Raw genomic sequence first — 19,939 nt, forward strand, 5'->3', positions numbered from 1 at the left:
TAAGAAGCTCTCAGTACTAGATTCCAGTTCCCCCTCTCACAGCTCCCCTAGGTTTCTGCTCGTAAGATGACAAAGTTGTGACTGTATGCTGACATGATTATTTTATTAATGATTGTTGCTCAGCTGAACTGTCAGCTCTGAAAGAACAGTGACATGTGGTCTTTCCATTGTATCATCTTCACTGAAAGGAAATAAATAAACAAATGAAGAGTTCTAATATATTTGGCTTAAAATCATATTACTTCAGGCCAGGCACGGTGGCTCATGCCTATAATCCCAGCACTTTGGGAGGCCGAGGCGGGTGGATCGTCTGAGGTCAGAAGTTCGAGACCAGCCTGGCCAACATGGTGAAACCCTGTCTCTATTAAAAATACAAAAATTAGCCAGGTGTGGTGGTGGGCACCTGTAATCCTAGCTACTTGAGAGGCTGAGGCAGCAGAATTACTTGAACCCTGGAAGCGGAGGTTGCAGTGAGCGATCACGCCATGGCACTCCAGCCTGGGTGACAGAGCAAGACTCTGTCTCCAAAAGATAAAAAATTAAAAAATCCTATTACTTCCAAAGGCTATGCAAATGCTGTATGTGTGGATATCCATGGTATTAATACATATTACTTATCAATATATAAACACATAGCAATGCATTTCCCAAGTTCAAAAACGCCTTTGTCATGAATCACTTTTCTTCAATTATATCTTCATTTTTAGTTCTTATTTTCTTTTTCTTTCTTTTTTTTTTTTTTTTTTTGAGATGGAGTTTTACTCTGTTGCCCAGGCTAGAGGGCAATTACACGATCTCAGCTCACTGCAACCTCCGCCTCCAGGGTTCAAGCGATTCTCCCACCTCAGCCTCCCAAGTAGCTGAGACTACAGGCGCCTGCCACCACATCCAACTAATTTTTTTGTATTTTTAGTAGAGACAGGGTTTCACCATGTTTGCCAGGATGGTCTCAAACTCCTGACCTCAAGCGATCCGCCCGCCTTGGCTTCCCAAAGTGCTGGGATTACAGGTGTGAGCCACTACACTTGACTTTAGTTCTTATTTTCTCTGACAACAGCTTCTAACTCATCCTGTTTTCTTTTTTGTCCTTCACAACAAGAAGGGCACAGCCAAATCTCATTCTCTTGCAGTCTTTTATTTCTTTGTCTTTATATATATAGTCTCAATTTCCCATTTCTCTCTCTAGTTTTTCAAACTTTTTGTCTACATATCCTTTGTGGTGCATACCACCTTAAGTAGAAACATTCAGTCCCTCATCTGTATGTCATCTGCGCCCTGTACTTATATCTGTTCTTGCACCCCCCACCCTGTATTATTTTTATTGGCTTCAGTATTGCATCGCCAACAAGACCATGAGCTCTTTGTGGGGGGAACAGGCCCTGTGAAGGAGTTGCTAGAAGTTGCCATTTTTGAGCACAATACCAGGCATGTAACGCACTCTTAGTAAATATTTGTTCAACTAAAATGCTTCAAAACATATTTTTGTAAAGGATCGATGTATCAATGGCTCTAATTCTAAATCTTGAACTTTACGACACTTAATCTTACTGTTTCATTTTCCCAGCTCGACTTCCTACTCTCTCCTGATAGAGAGATATAATTCCTATTCTCCCCAGTCTTCCGCATGATTTGATGTCACAAATATGATTAATGTGCTACTCAACCTCTTGTCCACCTCACTAATGTTAAAGAACAGTGGCCCTGCTACTAAATGCCATTCTGACAAATGTCCTGTCTCTTTGCCCTTTGTTTACAATTTTTTATCTCTTTTAAGCCCCATGGGGATATTCATTCCTAAGGCCAGTTTGAATTAATTTTGCAAGTCAGATTTCAAGAGACCTGGAATGTAGAGCAAAGCCCTGCTCACAATCCAACAGCAGTAAAACCCAATCCTCTGAGCTGTAATCTAAGTCAGTGTTCAAATATATATTTCTTTGCTGTAGAATAATAATAATTGCATAGTGCTTTCTATGTGGAAGGTCCTGTTCTAAGTACTTTCTGTGTACCAGTATTGACTTTCTTTAATCCTCAAAGTAATCATATAAGGTGGGTATAATAATTATCTCCACTTTAAAGATGAGGAAGCTGAGGTATAAATCAATTAAGTATCGAGCGCAAGGAGTCAATCAAGTGAGTCTTGCTCCAGAATTTGTATCATGCTGCCTCTAGGAAACTGCTTACTTGAACTATTTGTAACAACTTGAGTGTTTCTGGTTATCTATTCTTGCATAAAAAAATTAAAAAAAAATTACCCCAAAATTTTGGTAGCCTAAAACAACAATTATATTCCTAAATTTTATAATTAGGTGGGTCAATGGGTTGGCTAAGTGATTCTCTGCTCCATGTAGCATCATATGGGTTTAAACTAGGTGACGCTCAGCCTGATGGGAGGAGGGTGGCTGGGCTGACCTAGACAGTCCTTGAGACTCTCCACATGCCTGGCCCCTCAAAGGGGATAACTGGAAGGCCGGGCCTCTGCTGAACCTCTCTCTTTCTCTGTGTAGTACCACAATCTCCCCACATGGTTCCTTAGCAGGGTGGTTACACTTCTCACAAGGCTCAGTACTCCAATGGATCAAGGTGAAAGCTATCAGTCTACTTAAAGACTAGAGATAGAGCTGGCAGTGTGTCACTTTCACAGCCTGCAGCACATTCTTACCCAACACAGCCCCACTCCAGGCAGAACGCAAAGAGAGGGGAAATGGACCACATTCTCAATGGGAGAACTGTCAATGAATCTGTGATCATCCTACTCTGCCACACCAGGTATTATAGAGAAAGTTAACATTCTGGCAATTGAGTCAAAATACAATATTTTGAATTTGTTGATCATTTGTTGTTCTTTATTTTCCTTCATTGACTTCTTTTATAAGTAAAATAGAAGAACGTGAGCCAGGAATTATGTTAGGCATTTCATTCCTGTTGTCTCAATGACCACCTACCAGGGCTATGGTGAGGCTTGTTACGATGAGGGTTTAAATCCCTCTATAAAAAATAAGTACAGTAAGGCTTAAAGAGGTTAGAGAATCTACCCAATGAAGCACCTGGATTCAGCTCCAAGAAGGAAGTTGTATATATTTTTTCTCTTTGACTAAACTGTAGTTTCTTCTTATTGTATAGGACCATTGATGGGGATAAAGACAGTATGTTAACTATCACACTCAATTTCAAGACAGGGTTACTTGAATTTAGTATGAGCTAGGCAGTGTTGCTGCTCTCTCTGGATTTTGGTCTTCCAATCTATAGAGTAAATGGTTTGGGCCAGATTATTGTTTTCTGAATGTGACTTGAAATCAGTGTATTGTATAAAGGCAAAGCCAACATTTTTTAAACAAAGTAATAGAAAGTAAAGTACATCTCATGCAGAAAGAATGAGTACTGCTTGTGAATCTTTCGTTTCAGTTGTGGTTGCTTGTGTGTGTGTGTGTGTGTGTGTGTGTGTGTGTGTACAGGTCTATGTCATACAAGTGCATTTCTTGCTATAGGTTACAGATAGAAAAGTGTGAAGGCCACTGGGCTAGGTGACCTTTTATGATTCTTTCTAAATTAAAAGAAATAATTCTGGGAACATTCATAATTTCTATCATAATTTTGTATAAAACAGAGGCTATATCTAATTCATTTCGAACAAGACCCTGAATAAAATGGCCATTTGTTAGGTTATATCTGACATATTTATCAGTTCATATTTTATTATTCAAACCCCAAAAACATTCAGTACTTTAGGTCAGATTTTGGTCAAAGAAGAACCCTCCCTGAACCTCACTTTCCTGCACTCAGGAAAAAAAAAAAAAAAAAAAAGAAATTTCTGCACAGAAAATATTCCCAAGACCCAGGTCATGTATTTTGTATTCATTTCAAGCAGTATTTTTTTTTTAATGAAATTGTACTCTCTAAAAAGCATTAGAACCATCCTTCCAATTTGAGATGTAACACAATTCAATTTTTATTAAATATAATGATGTCTAGAAATTAAACCTCAAGGGAATATTTTAAAACACAAGTGTGAGCAATATCATACATTGCTAAATTAACTCAGAGGATACCATCTGCAAAATTAAAGCAGCGATCTAGGGATTCAAGTGTTGGAATTGGGGACTGAAGGAGGTGAATGAATCAGTTTCCTTTTGCACTGAAATTCCATGATTCAGCAGTTCTACAAATGTTGACAAGCACCTATTTGGAAGTATTAAGAGTCAACATAAATTGCGGATGACCTTGTTTCTCTGATCCTCTGGATTCTGTTGGTCAGAATGTGGGACCAAGTAATTTTTCTCCTCTCAAATCTAAAATAATGCAGACTCTTTCCTGTGTAGTCAGCCAACAAGCATGATATATTTTTTGCTCTACGTGCAGAAGTACTTTATGCTGCAAAATATTAATTTCTAAAATTGTGAGAAATTGGCACTCAAGTAAATAGTACATGAGGAATAAAGTTCAAATGGACTTTTGGGGAAAATGTAAGATATTGTTTACTCAAAAAATTTAGAAATGATGTGACCAAATATCGTCTTAGACTTTTAAATTTCTTTTCTGATTTCAATTTTTGCATGATAATACATTCATGGGGGGGTAGTTTAGTATTTTTAAAGCACTTTTTATTATTCATTTATTCAAAAATATTTATTGGGGATCTACTTTCTGTTGGGCACTGCTCACTGCTCTTGTTATTGGTGAACAAGAGCAGGTTCCCTGGAGTTTACAGCTTAGCTGAGGGGGAAGACAAGGGAGGAACAAGAAAACAAAGGAACACGATCACTGCAGATTGTGATAAGTGTTATAGAGGGGGAAAAACCGTCAGTGATGACTTCAGCAGTGCAGGTCAAGGGAACATCGAAGGAAGTGACATTTGGGCTGAGATCTGAATGGCAGGAAGGAGTCAGCCCCATACCGGGCAGAGCTTTCCTGGCAGTGAACTTGTTAGGGCAGAGGCTCCAGAGGAAATACGCCTGGCATGTTCTCTGTAAAGAAGCTCATGTGTACCACGCTTTCTCTTCATGTGAATATGCAGCATTTAAAGAGCTTGTTCTTCATGCTTTTAACTCTAATCCCTTTTGTTCCAAATTTTGAGAGAAAAAAAAACAGAGAACAGAAGGAAAATAGAGTAAAATTTTTCTGCACAGTACATACTCAAAATGGTCCGACAATATTTCAATCTTATTTTTAAAGTCACTTTAGGACAAAGATCAGAATGATAATGTTTAATGGTATAAGGGATGTTTCCCCCACCGCTCCCCAAAAGCCTAATTTCTCTAAATGGCAAATTTCCATTGGCAATGGTCTTATCACATACTAAATGTTTACAGTTTTTTTTAACTTTTTATTATGAGTTGATAATTTTTAAATGGATTGACCACTCATCAATTGCTTTACAGCTATAAAAGAAAAATACTCATTATTTTTTGACAGTAGAGAATGTGCAAAGTTGGAGCTAATTTTCTGCAAAATATTTTACCCATTTGGCACCTTCTTCCGTGTTAAATTGTCTCGCTTTCTCGCTCCGTCATCATTCCCACTCAATCTAAAGACAGGGAAGGTTTGGAAGCAATTAACATAAAGGAAGCATTGATCTAGCTATCCTGAGAGTTTCAGTGCAAGTTTTGGTATCAAGAGTGTTATTTTTATTTTGTTTTTCAAAAAGGTAGAAAAGAGCTCATAGCCTCTTAAACCACTAGCCGTCTACATGGAATATTTGAATTTTTTTTTTATTTTTTTTTTTTTGGAGACGGAGTCTCGCTCTGTCGCCCAGGCTGGAGTGCAGTGGCGCCATCTCGGCTCACTGCAAGCTCCACCTCCCGGGTTCACGCCATTCTCCTGCCTCAGCCTCCCGAGTAGCTGGGACTACAGGCGCCCGCCACCACGCCCAGCTAATTTTTTTTTTTTGTATTTTTAGTAGAGACGAGGATTCACCGTGTTAGCCAGGATGGTCTCAATCTCCTAATCTCGTGATCTGCCCACCTCGGCCTCCCAAAGTGCTGGGATTACAGGCGTGAGCCACCGCGCCCGGCCGGAATATTTGAATTTTATCCTTGGTACCTGAAAATGGAAACCATTCCAACATTAAAGCAAAAAAAAAAAAAAAAAAAAAAAATCAGGAATTTATAAGGTAAAGCCACTGGGCAAATCGCCCAGGTTCTCTAAGCCTCATTTTCTACAGTGAAACTAGTGGCCTCTATGATTAAATAATGAACGTGAGAGCTGGAAGGAAGGACTCCTGGAACCCATCTCAGTTTAGAGGTTTTGAACAGTTTTCTTTTTCTGGAATGTTCACACTCACTTTTTCCACCTAACAAATTTCCCAAGAGCTTTCAGCTGAGCAGGCTTAGCCCCAGAGAGACCTAGACTCATATCTTAGCTCTGCTACTTAGTAGCTTATCACCTCAAGGTCTCATTTGTAAAATGGACATCAAAAGAAGGCTTACTAGGATTGTTAAAAAAAAAAAAAAGTTGACTGAGATAATTCATATATACTTGCCTATGTACAGCTCAGCTGCTATCTGTGTCTAGGGTCTGCCACCATGAATATTAACTATTATTTTTACAGTAGATATTCTTTTATCTGATATAAAATGGCCTGGTAGTAGGTAGGCTAATAGACCATTGGTTAAAGCAGAGATAGCATGACTAATGGCCATAAGCTTAGGGCACAAACAATGTTTTACAGAGGAAAGAAAGCATGTCAGCTAACCTAGAGAGTATGTCAAGTGGAGGATGTCTTTAAGAGTGTCCACGGAATTTTTTTTAGGTCTGAGTTTAAATATTTCCTCTCAGGGGTCTGGTCTTCCCATACTCTCTACATAATCTTAGTTTTCTCTGTCATGTGCTGTTGTATTATTATTATTATTTTTCTTTTTGAGACAGAGTCTTGCTCTTTCGCCCTGGCTGGAGTGCTACAGTGGCACGATCTCGGCTCACTGCAACCTCTGCCTCCTGGTGTGATTCTCGTGCCTCAGCCTCCCAAGTAGCTGGAAATTACAGGCACGTGCCACCACGCCCGGCTAATTTTTTGTATTTTTAGTAGACACAGGGTTTCACCATGTTGGCCAGGCTGGTCTTGAACTCCTGACCTCAAGTGATCCACCCGCCTCAGCCTCCCAAAGTGCTGAGATTACAGGCATGCACCACCGTGCCCGACCACGTGCTCTTATATTAACAACCAGTATTTACTAAGCACATACTATGTGCCAGGAGATAGTCTACATATTCCATGTCTATTAGTATTCTTAATACTTGCAGGACCCCAATTAAGCAGGTGTTGGTGTTTTCCTCAAGTTCACACAGCTGATCAAATCAGTGAGGGCTGTGACCCTAGATAGCCTAGCTGCAGAGTCAGTGAAGAGAATAACTACATAGCCCTGCTAACTCATCATGTCCGGCACTCCTCCTGCCAGGATTCACAGCACACTTGATATAAGCACAATTTGTCTGTCTTCCTGGGCAGCTGAGCTCCACGAGGTAAGAATCACATCAGTACTGTCACCATAGAATTTGATTCACAACAGGCAGTCAATACATCTGGGGATGATTTACAAAGCCTCATTTTACAGATCAGAGTATGAAGTCAAGTGAGGAGGTTTAGTGACCTGCCCAATGGCCAAAGCCAACGTTTGAATGTTGGTCTTCTTATCCCGAGATAAGAAGTCACTTTCTTTTGACTTCATCAAGTTTGTTTTGTTGGTTTTCTTGCTCAACATCTTCTTACCCATTTAACAACATCTTGTCTCTGAAGTCACAGCATCCAATCCCATCCCTGGCCAGGTCTTAAATTCAATTTCCCTGAACCTGATTTAAGTCTTCAATGAGAGTTTTAAGTACATTTTTTTTTAAAAGGAGAAAGCACTAAATGCGAAAACATCCAGATAGAAAATAAAACACAAAGCTTAACCACAGCCAAGCTGCTTTCTGTGCCAGTGATGATGCCTGCACCCATAGTACCAGGCTTCGTAATTACCTCTCTGCCTGAGGTTCCACAAAGCCATACCTTTGAACTGAAACAGAAAAAGAAATAAATAAATAACTAGCTCTGATGATTAGCAAGGTACTGCAGCTGCAGGAAAAATCTCCCACATCTAACTTACCATCATATCATCACCCCTGATGTTTGTTTCTTCTTCCAGCCAAGATGAAGAGAAAACTGAATTGTGCTTCTAGTGTACAATCTTACCTAATTATGCCAGCTGATCACTTAAAAGTAATGTTTGCACACAGACCGGGAAGATGCTTACAAGAACCAGCTGGTTGATAAAGGCTATAAGTGAGGATTTGATTCGTTTTCAAAGAAGTGTTAACTATTTACATCTATTTATAAACACCACATCACAACACAAGTTACTGTGCGGCACTGCAAAGTGATACTATACTCAAATTCCACAGAGGCAGGCAAATTTAGGAATAAAAGTACTGCTCAACACGTAGAATGTAAGACACTACCATTCGCCACTTTGGGATGTCCATTTGAGGGAGGGCAGACCACCGTCCTTTGGTTTTTAGACACAAATGAAAAATTAATAAGAGTTATTAGGGGAGAGATTGTGTGTGTGTATGTGTGTGTGTGTGTGTATGCACACAAATGTGCTTTCATACAAAGCAGAATAGTACAAGTTAAATATCACTAGCTTTTAGACTTAGAAGTCTTGAGTTAGAAAATTAATCATACCACATGCCACCCACACGCCTTGGCCAAGTTGCTTGACGAGCTGTTGGGATGAGTACATGAGATACTGCAAATGAAAGTCAGGGCACGAATGCTTGTACAACCCAGTAAAGCTGTAAATAATGAATGCCACATATTCAGTAGTACTATGTGCTGAGACCTGTCCAAACATTGTCTCATCTAATCCACATAACAATCTTATGTAGTAGGTTTTATCATCCTCATTTTGCTTTTCACTTAAGTGTCTTTGTCCAAGAGGCAAAGTGGAATTTGAACCTACACCTATGTGGTCAAAACTTTGTTTGAGTTCCAAAGTCCATGTTCATAACTGTTAAACTCCCTGGTTCTACACACTCTCCTCACTGGCAAAGTTTAGGCATCTTTAATCCATCCAATTTCTGAAGAATTTACCCACAACACGGGTGTTCACCCATGCTTTTAAGACTGAACAGGGATTTCCTTAACTCAACACATGGTTATTGAGTGCCAGCCATGTCCTGGCATGAGCCTGGTTGCTGGGGATAGGAAAGTGAATAAGACAGTGAGCATCTCAGCCTGCTTAGAGCCACATGAGGGAGAGATAAAACAAGGAAAGCATTACACTGTGATGTCATACATGTTAATGGTACCTAAATAGTACCTGGTATATGGTAGATGCAGAGTAAATACATGTGGGATAACAGGGAAGTATTTGCAATGCAGTGGTAGCTGAGATACTGCCTAGGAAATCTGAGGGAGGCAGCCTTCCTGGAGGGGGTGGCTGGAAAGAGAGACCCTGAATGATGAGTAGCTCACCTAGCAGATATAATGTGGGAAGGACACCACAGGCAAAAGGAAGCGACCTGTTTCATAGTATAATGAGACCTGTTAACAACTTGGAATAAACAGCTCCAATTATTCCTAATATGAATCCTCAGTGTGTCTAAATCTATAGGCCATTTACTGAGTGAAGAGATTAACCAGAAATAACAAATTATAGCCAAAATGGCAATTCTAAGACAGAAGCTAGGGTTTTCCAGGTTAATGACCCAGAGAATGAGGAATACTTGAAGACCCTAACCTTTCTGAGTGCATTGAATCCCCAAGGCAAGCAGGGTACCTTGAATATCTATTGGCCACATCCAGTCTGTAATTCATGTGGGTCTTTGCAAGGCCACATAATGCGGGTAAAGAAGAAAAGTGCTCCTTTTCTTCTAATTCTAGACTCTAATTCTATTCATATAGGGAGATGGAGGGAACCACAATCATTGCATGTAAGTGAGGCCACTCTTTTTTTTTTAAACTGAGCCCAGGTTTACAATGTTTCCAATAGCCAAACCAGTCAATAGGTGGGACTTCATGAAATGACATCATTTGGCCTCTCTAGTGAAACAGAAAAACATCCAGAGCACGGCCTGGGAATTCTGGGCAATGGGCTTCACTCTCTGCTTCATGAGGTTGTTACTGAACATAGGAATTAAATGATATATGAGATACAATACACAGGCAAATTCTTTCCCATAATGGTTAATAAACAGCAATTTTCATTTTCTCTAGGAAGCCTTAATACAATTAAAGCACCAAAATATAGTTTATTTATAAATCACCTATGAAACTAATTTTATATATATGTGCCTATGTATGTATAATACGTCATGTATATTCATTATATATTATCATTATATATTCTATTATTTATGTATAAATTAATATCACTAATATTGATTTAGTTTAGCCCTAATGTTATATATATCTATCTAATCTACTAATGGATTATAGACTAGATAGAGAAATATTAATCTATCTAATATGTAGATAGGAGATAAAGATGATAGATATAGATAGATACATAGATCCAGAGATAGATAGATTAGATAGATGAGATAGCTATAACACTGAGACTAAAACAATATTCGAATCATAATTGGACAGGTTGATTTTAAATCACATAATTGTCACAGAATGAAAGTCTTCAGAGAACTTCTAGTCCCAATAGTTCAGCATCTATAACCTTCCAAGTCATATTTATTTCAGTGTAAACAAAAGCAAAAGGACAAAAATGAAATTCAGTTGAAGAGATTCTGGCCATTTAAAACAAAAACATAAATATTACCTTACCTGGGGCTCATCTACATTTCCTATTTCCACCAATGTGTAAATCCTGAAATTTCTACCTCCAGAATATGAATATTCACCAGTAAATGAATGGATGGATTAAATTGTTATGCAAAAGACATTGTCTTTCTAGTGCATTGAAATTCTTTCTGCCTCACTCTGGTGAGCCAGGCTCCTCCCGCAAAAGGTTTTATAAGATAGACAGAGTTCTTCAACAAGCGTTTCCAACAACTGCTAAACCTTAGCTCTAATGTACACCGTGAAAAGGGAAAATCCTCTTTCTAAGCCCATTTATGATTTATTAGCTTATTCATTTGACTGCAAATGCTTGAGAAAATCTGCTCTTTTCAACAAGCTTAAACATTTGGGAAAGGGCAGAACAAAAAAAAAAGGAAAATAAAGGAGAAAAAGAATTGAAAAGGTATATTAAATGCAAATGGAAGGAGCTTAGTGAGGCATCAAGACTGACATTTGAACTGCAACAACTCGGCGGGTAATTTGAGATTGATTAAATACTAAACTAGGCTTGATTGGTGTAGAAGCTCAATCATAATCATGATTCAGAGACAGGAACGTAAAGGAAGATTCCCTCGTGAGAACCTGAAGTCTGAAGAAAGTGCAAACCAGTTGCACAGAAAATTCTTATTTGCTATTCATCATTACATCCTGCCACACTTAAAGGAGTGCTGGTAAAATACAAAAACAACCCCATCACCAAGAAACAAGAATCCAGATCACAAGTTGCGCTTCATGGATATCTCCTTGAAGGCACTACCCGTCTCTCTCATCAGCAGAGAAGGCAGCTCCACTCGGGGCAGCATTGCAGAGACAGCAGGAGGACAGTGTCAGAATAAGAGGCAATTCAGAAGGGCTGGATACAGGTTGAGATTTTAAAAAGGAGTGTAGAGCTATGCAAGATGAAAGAAATAAGTGCTAAGATGCATCTGAAAAGATGCTACTCTTTTTTTGCTCTTAAACGTATTCAGAATTTTCCTACCATACTTGGAAAAGCTAAAAAACCAAACCAAAACAAAACAGGATGAGAACAAGGATAACTGGTTAAGCAAAGACTACAATTCTGAGATGCTTGGCAATAGGCTTTGCAAGGCTTTCAATTTAGTTCATAAGATTTGCTAGGCAAATTAGTGTCAAAAAGGCCTTATTTTGGAAAAACAGAAATATACATACGTGTGTGTGTAATGTGGAATGTGAATAGATCAAGAAAATTCTCTTGTCTACACGCAGTTCAATATTCACATTTTGCCAGAACTGCAAGATCAACATGATCTTGCTTTTCTTATTTCAAAATTTTGCACATATGTCTATGCTTTGACAACTGGAGGGTTGAAAAGAAACAAGGAGGATCACAAAGATTCACGGAAAAGCCTCAGAGTGGCCAGTACCTGGGCCCTGGCCAGATGACACACTGGTTGGGCCAGACCTCCCGACCCTTTCAGGATTTCGTATCCTCTTATCTCCTAACGGCCATCAGGCAGAAAGGAGCAGCTGGTTTTCTCCTCTTTGACTCTTGGTTGTTGCCACTTTTGTACTTCCTGTCTCTTTCTGGAATCTTTCTCTCATTCCACCTCCCACTTCCACCAAACCATTTCCTTCCCTTCCAGTCCCAAAGCTGCATTTCCTCCCTTTCCCCAGGATGCTTCCATCTGCTCTCCTCGCTCTCCAATCCTCTCGTTCTAGAAGCTCCACCTCAGTTCTTACAGACGCTCTTTATGCCATCTGTTAGCAGGATGTAAGTGGCAAACCATCGTCTTAGGATAAAATAATACTCAAACTTCTAATCAAACTTTCAAGGCTCGCCTCCACCTGGTGCCCAGCCAGATTCATGTATCAATACATTCCTGCATTCCTTTACTCAAGTCAAGCGGATGGACTCTGTTTTTTCTCTGGCCCCTACACTTCTCTGCCTTTAGGATTTTGCTTACGCTGTTTCCCTAGTCTTAAATACATTTCCTTCCACCTCCTCCAGTGTGCTTTTCTGGATACCTCTAGTTAGGAGAGTTACCTCCTTTTAGCCCATAATCTGTAACCCCTCCTCTTGGATGTGTGATTGTGTGTCTGTGTTGGAGGTACACAGTCCATGAGCACAGTTTCATCAGTGCTAGATTACAAAATATTTAACAGCAGAATCCCCTGTAAGTTTTTGTTGTATCTCTCTCAGAGTTTGGACACCTATCATGTGATAGATATTGGGAGATAGTATAGTGATAAAGGAAAGAGCAAGCCTAGAAACTTCCATTTTAGAATTACAGCAAGACCACGTGCACTTAAAAAAATCCTATCTGAAATGATAGAGAAGTAACAGAAAAAGTGTGACTTAAGGAGCCAAAGGGAATGGAAGAGGTAAGATGAGTGAGATCATTCAATGAATTCTTGGAAGATGGTAATTGAATAGAGAAATACTCCTATCTTTATTAAAAGTGGAGACACCTGCAACACGGCACCCTGCAGCAAAGAATACCAAAGAAAAGTGAGCCAGTGTATACTACAGAACCCCCAAAAGGCTCAGAACTTGAATGCGTGGCTGAAGAAGATGGGTGAAGCACGGGATTGGTAATTGGGGTTCTGCTAAGAACACTTACATTCTCAGGTGAGAGCACTTACATGCCCTACCCACTCCCCTCCTCCCTCACTGGAACTCCTCATTGCTTCCTTACTCATGCTAAGCAGAGTGTTAGTAAGTTCTTCTCTGGAGAAATGAAAAGGATCCAGGAAAAAAGAACTCTAGGAACTGTCACAGGGGTGATTCCAGTGAACATGCTCACTGGCTACCCAGTCAATCGGTGGTGAGAACCACTAAGCAAAAGCTTCATCACACTCAGAGCTTGTAAGTAGCTGTTAGCACCATATGTTTAAGGGGACCACCAGGAATCCCCAGAATTAGGCAAAGTTCCCAATACAAAACAGAGAAACTGACACAAATAAACAGGGAGAAAATAACGAACAAAAGAAAGAGACAATGCAGAAAGCAGAAGAAAACTTTTATTTGAAAACACAATTTATTTTTTAAAACCGTGTGTCTATATGCTGCTTTGATAAAATATATATTAATATAAAAAGAGGGCACATTTTTAAGAGTATAATAGATCTGGGTTTGAAGCATGATTCCCCTGGTTAAATCCTGTGTGTGTTATATAAAAGTAATTGAATCTCCCTGACCTCAGATTTCACATCTATGAAATTACCGTAGTAATATACTAACTCATGGGGTTGTTTTCATAAGTAAAAGGAGGTGATGTCACTTAGTCTGTATGTTCTGTGCTAAATAAATGACTTAGGAATTTTTTATGACCAGTACTTCTCATCATTTTTTTGGAGTGGCAGATGCCTAGGAGAACTAGATGAAGGCTGTGTATCCTCTCACTCGAAAAACACACACAGGCCGGGTGCGGTGGCTCACGCCTGTAATCCCAGCACTTTGGGAGGCCAAGGCAAGCAGATCACGAGGTCAAGAGATTGAGACCATCCTGGCCGACATGGTGAAACCCTGTCTCTACTAAAAATGCAAAAATTAGCTGGGCGTGGTGCCGTGTGCCTGTAATCTCAGCTACTCGGGAGGCTGAGGCAGCAGAATCCCTTGAACCTGGGAGGTGGAGGTTGCAATGGGCTGAGATCGAGATCTCACCACTGCACTTCAGCCTGGTGACAGAGCAAGACTCCATCTCAAAAAGAAAAAAAAGAAGAAAAAGAGAAGAAAAACACATACACATATTGATATGGTTTGGCTCTGTCTCCCCATCCAAACCTCATCTCCAATTGTAATCCCCAGGTGTTGAGGGAGAGACCTGGTGGGAGGTGATTGGATCATGCGGGTGGTTTCCCCCACGCTGTTCTCATGACAGTGAGTGAGTTCTCAGGAAATCGGATGGTTTTTGTAAAGGGCTCTTCCCCCTTCACTCACCCACACCCTCTCCTTCTGCCTTGTGAAGAAGGTGCCTATTATTCCTTCTGTGGTGATTGTAAGTCCCCCAAGGCCTCCCCAGCCATGCAGAACTGTGAGTCAATTAAACCTCCTTTGTTTATAAATTACCCAGTCTCAGGTAGTATCTTTATAGCAGTGTAAGAACAGACTAATCCACATATGTGTGGAGGAGAGATCTCACATAATTCCCAAGGCATGTCAGACTCTCTGAAGCCAAGTGAAACTTGTCCAGGTAAAATAATTGATCTACATGAAGGAGTCATTAAGAGCAAGCATATTCCTTTTTGTTTCTTTTAAATCAACTGCAATGATCAGCAAAAAAGGCAACTCAGTGAATGGAGTAAGAACTCTATCTAATTCTGCCTGTGCCAAATGGAGGTGATTCTGCATGAATAACAGCAGAAGTTATTGGACCCGAGGAGGTCCAAGGAGTGTCATTTCATTTGGTTCATGAAAGGAAGATGGCTGATCCAATTAGCCTGTGCCGACCTCAGACCTGATGATGCTTTTAATTTTCTAAGGCTGCAGGGTTGAGAATAAGGGCTCCTGATGGTTCCAGCAGAGAGAGAACCTAGAAGACATTGTTTTCTTCTGCAAAAGGATGTGCGGATCTCATGGAAATGCTGAGCTGCCTTTTCTCAGAAAGAGCTGACTGTGTCCATGGAATCTATTATTGAGCAATCAAGCACCTCTAGGCAATGGGGTTGAATAGAACGGTGCAGAACTCATAGTCAGACTGACATGGATTTAGATCCCAGCTCCATGACTTCTAACCTGCATGACCTTGGACAACTCAGCCTCTCTGAGCTTTTTTTTTTTTTTTTTTCTATTTTAAGTGCAAATATCATAAGGGAAGACTGAACTTCTTTTAGGAGTATAGGACAAGCAGCAAGGAGGTGGGATGGCTGGAGTAGAGTGAGGAAGAGCAATACAGAGATAAAGTAAGAGGAAGAATAAGCCGGGTCACATAGATCTCACAGCAAAGTTTTAGGTTTTCTTTTGAGTAATATGAAAAGCCATCGGAGGGTTTTGAAGAGAAGAGAGAGACATGATCTGACCTACATTTTCAAAAGCTTACTCTGGCTATTGTGTGGAAGTAGAAGCAAAAAGTCCCTATGGTGGTTGTTGCAACCATCCTGGGACAGAACGTGGTGGCTTTGAAGAAGGCAGTGGTAGTGATGGTGCTGATGACAAAAGAAGTCAGATTCAGGATGTCCAAGGAGCATTTCTAAATGAAAGGACAACTGAGGCATCCAAGTAACTGAGGACAACTTCATAAAAAGAATGTGGCTTATGCTAAGAAGAATGCAACCAAGCAAAGGTGCTAGTTTCTTTTTTTCTCAGTAATTGGACACTTGGATATTAATTGAGCACATGACTGTCCAGACATGTCTCTCTGGAAACTAAGTGTGACCATGTAAGCAAGCATTAGCTAATGGAGTATCAGCAGAAGTAGTGGGTGCATCTAGTGGGAGCTATGATTAAAGTGAAGAGGCACATCCCTTTCTCTTTCTTTCTGTGTGCTAATATGGGCGTAACCAGGGCTGGAACTGCCATCCTGGACTCTGGATTGCAACCCATGCATTGAGACTGGCAGAAATCAGGAAAGATGCCTTTGTACCTGCTGATCCTGGTGCATCTATAAAAGCCCTGGATTGTCTGAATTCGTAACAAAACTTCACAACAAAACTTTAATTTGTTTAAAACTGTTATTTTGGGTATTCTGTTACAGCTGAACATAGTCCCAACTGAATCAAAAGAAAATAAAATAATTACTATTACTACATTCATTACATGTTTGCTATGTTCTGGGTATTGTGGAAGGCACTTTACACATATCATGTTCTCTCATCTTCAGTACCCCAAGAAGAAGGTGTTGGTATTATCATCATTTTACAGATAACAAAGCTGGTGCAGTGAGAGGTCAAATAACTTGTCCAAGATTACTTGCCTAGCTTATAATTAGCAGAGTTAGGGTTGCTAAAATTTGACAAATAGGAGAAAAGGGAGAGGACATACTGATGAAATTATAGAGAAAGAAAAATACCTTTGATATTGTTATCTGGCAGCATTACATTTTGACTTCTTATGTTGAGATTCAAATATAAAATAATTTGGTTTATATTCCTTAAACTGAATTAACTTTTTAAGCTTAATACTTTTTTAGAGAAAATGTTTATGAATTTGGTATATTCTAAGCACATTGACACTAACTCTACTTCGACAGTGTAACTTCAAATTTCATAATGAAACAAAATTGCACAGCCCAAGTCTTGAAGTTGATTAGAAGAGAGATAAGTAACTGGCTTAGAATTTTTTGAGCTGCGTGTTAACAATCTACCCACAAGGCTCTGAGAAAGACTACTGCCCAGATTAGGATCATCAGACTTAAGGGACCTCTGTAAGTACTAAGTACCACCAGTACTACTGATACCTGGGGAAATAGGACACTGGACACAGGAGTTAGCTGGGGTTGAAATTAGAAACCTCTCACATTCCTAGAAAGCAAAACTGCAAGACCATCTGAACAATTTTGAAAAATCCTATAAATTGAGGGACTCAGAATAACTTAATATTTACTGAGTGCTTAACACACAGTCACACAAGTTCATTTGAATATTCCTATTTTACTCATAAGGAAACAAACAGCGATGAAATCCTTGCTCCTTCCAATGCTCCACTGTTGGACAAAAATAAATATTTATTCACTTAAAAAACACACTTTTATCTTAATCTTGGGGCATAATAAAATCTGAAAGAAAAGAAATCAAATATGCTTACTCAATTATAACTAGAAAAGCTAGGTCTGTCTAATGTTCAGGCCAATAAGATATTCTAGAAAATTCACTGAAATTCATAAAAGGGAATATGTCTGATTAGTCAATAAAGGACTTTAAGATGAGATATATGTCTAATTAATCAATAAAGGACTTTAAGATGAGACCTTTCTTATAACTTATTTTCAATAGACATTTCTTAATATTGGTGTCCTTGAGAAGTATGTACAAATGTGATATTATGGCACAAAACAGAAGAAACAATTAATTTTCCTTTGCCTTTTATTCCTTCATTCTTTGTATACTTATTGAGTGTCAGTTGTCTTTTCTTGCGGTATCTCCTTTCACACTAACAATATGATCCGGTCCCAACAGCTTCACTTTCCACCAATCTTTTCCTCTTTTTTTTTTTTTTTTTGAGACGGAGTCTCTCTCTGTCACCAGTCTGGAGTGCAGTGGCGCGATCTCTGCTCACTGCAACCTCTGCCTCCTGGGTCCAAATGATTCTCCTGCCTCAGCCTCCCGAGTAGCTGGGACTACCGGCGCATGCCACCACGCCCAGCTAATTTTTGTATTTTTAGTAGAGATGGGGTTTCAGCATGTTGTCCAGGATGGTCTCGATCTCTTGACCTTGTGATCCACCCGCTTTAGCTCCCCAAAGTGCTGGGATTACAGGCATGAGCCACCACACCCCGCCCTCCTCATTTTCTATTACTCAGTCTATTCCAGCTCCGCAGCCCTTTGCTGCTCCCCTGGGCACACCTCCACCCCTAGATCTTTGTACTTGCTCTCTTAACAGCCTGTAAGTCTCTTACCCAATGTCCATGGTTCACTCTCTTACTTCATTCAAGTCTCTGCTCAAATGCCATCTTTCCAGAGAAATCATTTCTGGCCATTCTCTCTACAGTAGTAGCCCCTTAACTTAATATATTTTTCACCATGGCACTTAGTTCTTCTTGATACTCTATTATGTGTTGCTTGTTTATTTACTAATGTTCTGCCTCCTCTACAAGGGAGGGCTTATTGTCTGTTTTGTTCACTAATGTCCAGGGCTTGCCTCAATGCTTGATCCACCTTAGGGACTTATTAATGAATTGTGTATAAATGAATAAACTTTGCAAGGGGTCACAAGCTTAAGCATTTGGTCTGCAATATGCTTTGGGAAAAATGAATGAACTGCCAAACTTTCACAATCAGTATTTCCAGATTCTCTTGAAAAATCAGATCTGACATCACTGTGCCATCACACCTATGTGGCGTGATTGAGTGAAAGTAGAATAGGGGTTGTCCCCTTTACATAGGGCATATGTTCTGCAGTTTGGGACAGAATTCCATCAGTGATAGTCTTCACCCCTACGAGCACGTGACTCCTATAGGTGCAAGCTTTAGAAGGTAGGAGTCAAGGCCAGGCACGGTGGCTCAAGCCTGTAATCCCAGCACTTTGGGAGGTCGAGGCGGGCGGATCACGAGTTCAGGAGTTCGAGACCAGCCTGGCCAACATGCTGAAACCCTGTCTCTACTAAAAAGACAAAAATTAGCTGGGCATGGTGGTGTGTGCGTGTAATCCCCTCTACTGGGGAGGCTGAGGCAGAAGAATGGCTTGAACCCCGGAGTCGGAGTTTGCAGTAAGCCGAGATTGTGCCACTGCACTCCAGCCTGGGTGACAGAGCAAGATTCCATCTCAAAAAAAAAAAAAGGCAGGAGTCAAGAAGGAAAGGAAGGCTCTGTCGTGTTCACTATTGTACTCCCAGCATCCATTTACATAGTAATTGGCACATGGAATTATTGGTTGAACAACAGATGAATATATTATTCCTACATTCCAGATGAGGAAACTGAAATTCATAGAGGAAATACCTTGTCCCAAATCACAGAGCTGTACATGGTGCAGACTGCTTGATCCCAGTGGCTTGGTTATTATGCCGCATAGACAATGAAGGAATTGCTAATTACAGACATATCTTACATTCAAGAATAGAGGCCTTAATTTCATAAATCAAGGTAATATTTATGTGGCATAAAATGCATAAATCTCAAGTTTACAATTTGAGTTTTGAAGTATGTGTTTGCCCGTATAACCACTAATCTTACAGAAATGTGAATATTTCCTAGAACATTCTCTCAGGCTCCTTGCCAGTCAATGCCATCCCCACACCCCAGACAGAGGTAGCCCAATGTTGCGGTCAATTACCATTAGATGGACTTGCCTGTTCTTGAAATCATGTAAATGGAACCATCACTATTTACTTTTTGAGCCTCTTTTGTGTAACAATATTTTTGCAAGTCTTCTATGGTGTTTCATGCATCAGTCATTCATTCCTTTTTATTGCTGAGTGGTGTGTCATTGTATGTACAGATCCAAATTGTTCATCCATTTCCCTGCCATGGTTTCTGACTATTTTTTAAGGCTGTTATAAATATTTTTGTATAAGTGTCCCTGTAGATATAAGTTTTAATTTCCCCTAGGTAATTAAA

The 19,939-nt window shown here is 39.8% G+C and overlaps 1 protein-coding gene across 19 annotated transcripts in view, besides 2 other annotated features; it reads right to left on the reverse strand.

Annotated features, from left to right (window-relative positions):
• Window positions 1–19,939, reverse strand: part of LDB2 (LIM domain binding 2) — a 397,105-nt gene that overhangs the window by 314,139 nt on the left and 63,027 nt on the right. The gene's annotated exons all lie outside the window — the stretch shown is intronic.
• Window positions 2,329–2,880: an enhancer, noted in NCBI's record as "NANOG hESC enhancer chr4:16819631-16820182 (GRCh37/hg19 assembly coordinates)". NCBI's record gives its function as "activates a minimal SCP1, AML or CMV promoter by ChIP-STARR-seq in naive H9 embryonic stem cells {active_cell/tissue: H9 hESC(naive)}" and the evidence as "EXISTENCE:reporter gene assay evidence [ECO:0000049][PMID:30033119]".
• Window positions 5,591–5,816: a silencer, noted in NCBI's record as "fragment chr4:16822893-16823118 (GRCh37/hg19 assembly coordinates)". NCBI's record gives its function as "represses an EF-1alpha promoter that drives an FKBP-Casp9 reporter gene in an ReSE screen in K562 erythroleukemia cells {active_cell/tissue: K562}" and the evidence as "EXISTENCE:reporter gene assay evidence [ECO:0000049][PMID:32094911]".

This window comes from Homo sapiens, chromosome 4, assembly GCF_000001405.40.
Source record: "Homo sapiens chromosome 4, GRCh38.p14 Primary Assembly".
NCBI classification, from domain to species: domain Eukaryota; kingdom Metazoa; phylum Chordata; class Mammalia; order Primates; family Hominidae; genus Homo; species Homo sapiens.